Raw genomic sequence first — 7,951 nt, forward strand, 5'->3', positions numbered from 1 at the left:
CCTTTTCTTTACTGATTTCCTTTCTCTGGTATATCCTCTGTCCCAATCCCCATCATCACCTGCCTAACTCCTGCTTACCCTTCAGGAGTCCATTTAGAGGCCACCTCTTCTAAAAAGCCTTCCTTGAGTTTACCCCACCCCATTCGACCTGAGTGAAATGTTTCTTTTCTCCCTGCTAAGGCCACACAGCAAGTAAATCATCGAACTGGGATTCAAATTCAGGCCCACCTGCTCCCAAAACAGCAAGCCAAAACCGGAAGACTCTACTTACTTATCTATTCAGGAAAAAAGAGACTAAAGAATGAGGTAGAGCTAAGCTAACGTCTTGAAAAGATGCCCAAAATATATTAAATGAAAACACCAGGTTGTAGAACAATGTGTATGGCATAATTCCATCAAAGCCACAATAAACTATATATGTTTATATAGGTTTTTAAAGCACAGAAGATGCCTAAACAAACACAAATTGAGCTATTAATGATAATTACTGGGTGGGTGGACTTAAACATTCTATAAGGTTTCAATTTGTTATGTATTCTTTATGTACTTAAAAAAAATAAACTCAAAGGAACTCCACAACTTTTCTCCAATAATAAGTAAGAGGCTTGAATACCAGAAATTGCAAAATACAGGGACCAGCTTTTGGAGAAAAGGCTCCTTCCTGCAGTGGTAACATGAGATGAGAGCAGATGCGGTTGACCAGGGAGCCACACTCACCTTTCCCAGCAGCTCGGGCAGGCCCAGAAGCTGCCCAGTGAACACGCCAATGCAGATAAAGATGGCAGTCACCTGCCCCAGAGAGCCACGGATCTCCTTGGGTGAGATCTCACTAAGGTACATGGGGAGCACACTGAGGGCGACGCCTGTAGAGAGAAAGCATAGCAGCAGTTAGAGAGGTGTCTTCCCGGGGGAGCTGCACTCTGGTTACAATGCCTCTCTTGGCTCTGCTTTGCCCTGGACATTAAATAGCACTGTAGCCACGGCATTTTTCCCAGCACTTAGCACAAATTGCCAAAGCTTTCCCATGAACTTTATAATTTAATCCTAAAGTATGACTGGAGGTGCATTTCAGAGGACAGGACACAGCTGATGGTGTTGGTGGAGGTGATGGTATTGATGGTGATAATGACGGTGATGGTGATAACGGTGGTCGTGATGGTAGTGATGGTGGTGGTGATAGTGATGGTCATGATGGTGATGATGATGGTAGTAGTGATGGTAGTAATGGTGATGGTGGTAGTGGTAGTGATGGTAATGATGGCGATGGTGACGGTGATGATGGTGGTGGTAATGGTAGTGATGGTGGTGGTGGTAGTGATGGTCATGATGGTGATGATGATGATGGTGGTGGTGATGACTGTGATGATGGTTGTGGCAATGATGATGATGGTGATAGTGGTGGTGGTAGTAGTAATGGTTATGATAGTGATGGTGGCGATGGTGGTGATAGTGATGGTGTGGTGGTGGTGGTGATGGTGATGGTGGTGATGGTGGTCACAATGATAATAGCCAATACACATAGTGGCTACCAAGTAACAGGAATCCTTCTCATCTCTTTATATGTATTAACGTTATTTACTTTTAACAATAGTCTTCTGAATTAAATATACTATTACCATTTCTCTTCTAAAGATTAGTAAACTGAGGCACAGAAAAGTTGAGTAACTTGCCTAAATCACCAAGTAATGTCCAGAGATGTTTAAAAAAATTATTTTGCCCAATAGAGCCCCAGTGGGTCTCTGATCTTAGAACTTGCACTTTTCCCACCAGCTAACATTGCCTCTTGTCATAAATTATGGGACTCCGTTATGGCAGATGCTATTATACTCATTTTATAAAAATATAATAGTTTTTTTCTCTAAACCTTCTAGATGAAGAACACTCCAGGAAGATGCCCTGTTGTCCTATTATGGTTTCAAATACTCCGGGAGAACCTGGCTGGATTAGCAAGTCTTAGAGCCTTCTATCATCTCAAAATCCTTCAGGTTTATCATTTGGCTTTAAATTCTTTTTTTTTTTTTTCCAAGATGGGGTTTCACTCTTGTTGCCCAGGCTGGAGCACAATGGCTTGATCTCGGCTCACCACAACTTCCACCTCCCGGGTTCAAGTGATTCTCCTGCCTCAGCCTCCTGAGTAGCTGGGATTATAGGCATGCGCCACCACGCCCAGCTAATTTTTGTATTTTTAGTAGAGACGGGTTTCTCCATGTTGGTCAGCTGGTCTCGAACTCCCGACCTCAGATGATCCGCCTGCCTTGGCCTCCCAAAGTGTTAGGATTACAGGCGTGAGCCACTGCGCCCGGACCGGCTTTAAATTCTTTATTACAAACAGATCGGCCAGTTCAGGTAATAGCAGCAATATTCCTTTCTTTCTGACCAATTGTCTCACCTTAAGTGCCCTCGAGTTCTTCTCTCTGCTTTGAGAGGGTTGGTGAGAATACATGACATGAAGTCTCCAAGTCCTGGCGTGACTCCAACAGGCCACGTGCCACAAGTCGGAAAGACCGAAGTTTTTTCTTTCCTTCTTGTTCTTCTTTCTTTCCTGCTTCTTTTTGAAAGCTCATAGGAAAAAGGGTCTAAAAGACATTTGTTCTATCTCTGTGGTTTTGTAAAAGGTCCATCTTGGAATGCAGCTTATTTTTAGTTAAGGAAATTCAGAGATCAATTAGTTATATGTTCGAAGGGTCAACTCCCCAGATTAGTCAAAGCAACAAGAAAGGGGATAATGGATAAAATATAAAACTGCCAAACAGAGAATCTCAGTTGCCTCCACTAGGAAAGGACTTCCCAGAAGATCCACTGCAACCTCATCCAGGCTTTCTCCAAAGCAGGCAGGGCCTCTGAAACCCAAATCCTAGATCTGTACTTTATTAATTAAGAACACAAATAACAACAATGACAATAATACCATCAGCATTCCTGGAGTGGGGCACTAAGTGCCTGGAACTACACTAAGTACTTCAATACGTAGAACATCGTTTATTTTATTTATTTATTTATGTATTTACTTTTGAGATCGAGTTTTGCTAACGTTGCCCAGACGGGAGTGCAATGGGTGATCTCGGCTCACCGCAACCTCCATCTCCTGGGTTCAAGTGGTTCTCCCACCTCAGCCTCCCGAGTAGCTGGGATTACAGGTATATGCCACCATGCCCAGCTAATTTTGTATTTTCAGTAGAGACAGGGTTTCTCCATGTTGGTCAGGCTGCTCTCAAACTCCTGACCTCAGGTGATCCGCCCGCCTCGGCCTCCCAAAGTGCTGGGATTACAGGTGTGAGCCACCGTGCCCGGCCCATTTAATTTTCACATCACCCAACAAGGGAGGCCTTACTGCTAAGTTGCCACGCCAGGTGGGAAAGAGGCCAAGACTGTGAGGTCAATGGTTGCTGCAGTGGTCCCTGATTTGTACCCCCTCCCTGGATCGACATCCTTGGGGAGTTAGTCCTCTCTGACATTTATTCTGCACGTGGCCATGGGACTTGCTTGGGCCAAAGGGACACCAGCAAACGTGCATGCAAAGTGCTTGCACATTGTGCACATTGGGACTTTCTCCTTTGGCTGCTGTTGGAAGCCCAAGAACTTTATGCAAGGCAGCCCAGGCCCCCCTGGCCCAGGGTGGGAAGCCAAGAAATGAGCTGGCCCACTGACAGCCCGTGAGACCAGGCCACCTGCTAACACCCAAACACAGGCGTGAGACCATCCCAGGTCATCCAGCCACTGACCAACCTGAAGCCACCGCAGACACATGAGAAGGCCCAGCAGAGATTGGCAGAGCTGGCCCAGAGCAGAACTGCCCAGCCGACCCACAGAAGTGAAAGCACAGGAAAATGGTTACTATTTGAAGCCATTAAGTTTTGTTTTGTTTTTTAAGAGACAGGGTTTCGCTCTGTAGCCAAGGCTAAAATGCAGTGGTGCCATCATGGCTTAAGTTTCGGGGTTTTTAAATACATCAAACCTAACCTATACAGATAAATTAATGAAATTAATGGAAGCAAGTGAGAGCATTCAGGCAGTCTGACTCCATAGTCTTCACCCTTAACCACTTTCCTGCTCCAGCTTTCTGAGCATTAGGGCCCCCATTTGTAAAATGAACATGAGAAAACAGTCTTTCATTACAGGAGGAGATCAAAAAAAATGAAAAGCATGAACACAGTTGGTCAGTTATAAAACATTACATAGACACCAGCCATTATTCTTATGGATAAACTCTCAATAGCCATCAATAGAAGGAGTCTATTCAAGTAGTATAGACAAATGAATAGACAAATGATTGAGGAGTCATTTCATCTTGAGTTTGGACTATTAGAGAGGCCTAGATTATTCCCCTCCAGCAGGGCAACAAAAGTAAGTGAAGCCTCCTCTTCTCAACCTTACTTCCAGGCCCCCACTCTCCTGCTCACCTCTCCCTGAGACATTTTTATTGTTCATCTCACTCAGCTGAACAACCTGGTACCCTCAGCTTTTAAGACATCGACAAGGAAGGGAATTAGCCTTTAAGAAGCTCATGCTAGGTTCCAGGCAGTACATATGTGTATATGTGTGTGTGTGAGAGAGACAGAGAGAGAGAGAGAGACAGAGTGTGTGTTTCCGTTCAGCCTTATTATAGCCTTTTGAAGTAGGTATTATTACCACCATTTTACAAATGGGAAAACCAAGGCTCAGAGCCATTAAGTAACTTGCAGCAGAACTGAGATCCAAACTCAGGGATTTCTAATCCTAAGGCTTGCAATCTTTCCACAAATGCCTAAAAGTGATACTTTATGGATTTGCCTATTTAGAAAGAGAGCAGCGTTTGTCTGACAATATATCTTGAGTCTCCTACTCTCACTCCCATAGCCAGCATCTGTCCCCTTCTCTGCAGCTCCCCACCTAGCCCAGTCCCTTCCCCTGAACAGCTGGCTCCTCTGATTCCACTCCTGGCTTCCCCTCATACTCCATTACTGGAACAAACCAGTCCATGTCACATTCATCTCAACCCTCCCTGCATACTCGGCACAGGCACACAGTCCTCGCCGTGGCCTACAAGGTCTTATGTGATCTGGCCCCAGCTCCTCTTTGGCGTCATCAGCACCCACACATCTCCTTGCTCTTTCCCAGACGTGCCATGCCTCCTTCCGCCTCTGAGACATAATACTCTTCTCTCTGCTGGGAACAGTTCTCACCCTTGGCTCCTCTGGTCTCTGCTCAGGTTTCCTTCTCTGAGCAGTCTTCCCTGATTGGCCTTTCTAAAACAGCCCTCACCACCCTCCTGTCCTGCTTTGTTTTCTTCCTAGGACATGCTACTGTCTACCTTATGTATCTGTCTGCCCACTAGAATGTAAGCTCCAGGGACAGGGTCTTGTTAATCATTGTGTCTCCATCCTATAGTGTGCCAGCCCTCGCAGGTGCTCTACAAATGCCTGGCGAGTAAATGAAATAACGAATGAGTCAGAGGCCCAGAGAAGAAACCCCATCCTCATAAAAGCCCCATGAAAACCACAAATAACCTTGGAATATTAACATTATGATGAAGGTGACCAAACAGAAGGCATGACATGCTGAAGACCATCCAGGTCTTTGGGGTAGACTGCGGACCCTGCCCAGCATTCCTCAATTAGGGGCTAGAGCATCATGAATGGGATGGTTCATCCCACAGGACTGTCCCACTTTATGCAGAGTTCCAGCATCCTTGGTCCCTGCCAAGTCAATGCCAGCAGAGAGCCCCAGTCATGTGACAGCCCCAAACACTTCTCACATTTTGGGACACCCCCAAGGAGTATGTTACTGTTCCCTCCCCGTCATGGTGAACTCTCACCTCCATCTATGCCCATGATGAAGCGTCCCACGATGAGCATTTCAAAGGCTCCTGCCTGGAGCGAGCAGGCCATCAGCAATGCAGCAGAAATTGCAAACCCATTATTGGCCAGCAAAGTGTGCTTCCTGGAAAGAAAGGAAAGATTTGATGAAGATGTCTAACCATGAGGCATGTCACTGAACTGTCCATCCCAGGAGCAGGAGCCAGGCCCTTCTGAAGGGTGAGTAGAGCAAGACTCAGGCACAGTGCAGGGAGCACTGGCCTTGCCACCTCTGGCTGTGTGACTGGGTTCAGCCCTGGGGTCTACTAGGTCACTTACAAAGGCACCATCAGCCTTGACATCTATGAATTCTCTGTGGTAGTATTTTATTGCTTTAATTCTAAGACTATCATTTAACATTTCTGAAGTCAGTGGTCATCTTACAATTCGTGAGTCAGGGTCCAGGCAGGAAAATGGAAACCACTCTAGGTATTTTAATGGAGAGAATTTAACATAGGGAATTGGTTAAGTGGATATTGAAGAACCGAGATGTCAAAAAGGAAGACCTCTGAAGAAGGGGTGTTTCCCATGTGGTGCTGACACCTCAGGGGCATGGAGGAGGGCCCCGAAGACCTTTGAGAGTGGGCACTGTCCACTGGACTGTTTCCTCTGAGGAGCAATATGATTCTGGTTCTGGAAATGGACAAAAGTTGGAAGCTGGAATCAACTGCCAATGTCATCACTGGGACTGGCAGGAAACTCAGACAAACATGAAAAAGCTAGTCTTTTCTCTCTCCTCTAGTGCCCCTATTGGCAAAGGACAAATGGGGGTGCAGGCCCCAGCCCCAGCATCAGAGAGAGAGAGCCCAGAAGGGTAAGTGTGGAGCTAGGAGACAACAGCTTGACAACCAGCATAGCGTTCTACAACTTTTGTTGGCTCCTTCCCTCCCTCCCTCCCTTTCTTCCTTATTTCCTTTCCTTTCCAGTGGCTCATAAAATAACAATACTCCTCAGACCCAATGGCATCTTAGATTTGATGAACTACAGTACTAAGTGAATGGCTGGACTAATCCTCTCAAACAAGATTAGGGAAATTTCCATGGCAATAATTATTATTAACAGCTCTGTGTCAGGACTGCCATCACTTTTATAAACACATGCCTAAGACCTCATGGTTCAAATACCTGACTTGTTTGGAGGCCTGGGGACCTGGATTCCTGCACCAGCTCTATCCTTCAGGAGCTAGGAGACTTTGAACTTCATTTCTCTGTGTTTTCTTTTCCTCACTTTTGCAAAATGATCCTAAAAGCCCACATTTATTGAACTCTTGCTATAGGATAGACCCTGCTTTAAGTACTTTGCATTAGTAGCTCATTTAATCCTCAGAATGACCCAAAGAGATAGGTACTCTTATAATCTCTATTTTATAAACAAGTTAACTAGGTTGCTGGCAAGCTAGAAACTTGTTTTATTTTTAATTTTTATTTTTGAGACAGAGTCTTGCTCTATCACCCAGGCTGGAGTGGATTGGCACAATCTCTGCTCACTGCAGTTTCCACTTCCCAGGTTCAAGTGATTCTCCTCCCTCAGCTTCCTGGGTAGCTGGGATTACAGGCATGCACCACCACACCCAGCTAATTTTTGTATTTTTAGTAGAGACGGGGTTTCACCATGTTGGCCAGGATGGTCTCAAACTTCTGACCTCAGGTGATCTGCCTGCCTCAGCCTCCCAAAGTGCTGGGATTACAGGCGTGAGCCACTGCGTCCGGCCTAGAAACTTGTTTTAGGTCATATAGTCAGTGAGTCAAGGAGTTGGGGAAACATCTTAGCCCTTTACGGCTTATTTTTTTTCCTATAGACTCAATGAGTTAACAGATATTAAATTGTTTTGTAAATTGTGGTTAAAAAATTATTTTGCCCAATAGAGCCCCAGTGGGTCTCTGATCTTAGAACTTGCGCTCTTCCCACCAGCTAACATTGCCTCTTGTCATAAATTATGGGACTCAGTTATGGCAGATGCTATTATACTCATTATATAAAAATATAAGTTTTTTTCTCTAAACCAGCCTCTCGGGAGACTGGGGCAGGAGAACTGCTTGAACCCAGGAGGCAGAGATTGCAGTGAGCCAAGATCATGCCACCGCACTCCAACCTGGGTGACAGAGCGAGACTCCGTC

At 45.5% G+C, this 7,951-nt stretch overlaps 1 protein-coding gene across 27 annotated transcripts in view; it reads right to left on the bottom strand.

Annotated features, from left to right (window-relative positions):
- The window catches only part of SLC2A9 (solute carrier family 2 member 9), a 269,246-nt gene that overhangs the window by 208,850 nt on the left and 52,445 nt on the right, over positions 1–7,951 (bottom strand). For 26 of the 27 annotated variants that reach the window (XM_011513858.2, XM_047415973.1, XM_011513856.4 and 23 more), the window contains 2 exons: positions 5,795–5,919; positions 718–863 (listed from right to left, as the gene is read on the bottom strand). In XM_011513858.2, the coding sequence (XP_011512160.1) occupies positions 718–863; positions 5,795–5,919 (271 nt within the window). Of the gene's footprint in view, positions 1–717; positions 864–2,389; positions 5,761–5,794; positions 5,920–7,951 lie in introns of those variants that run through there. The other variant, XM_011513867.4, reaches the window with a different exon arrangement.

Source organism: Homo sapiens, chromosome 4 (genome assembly GCF_000001405.40).
Source record: "Homo sapiens chromosome 4, GRCh38.p14 Primary Assembly".
NCBI lineage: Eukaryota > Metazoa > Chordata > Mammalia > Primates > Hominidae > Homo > Homo sapiens.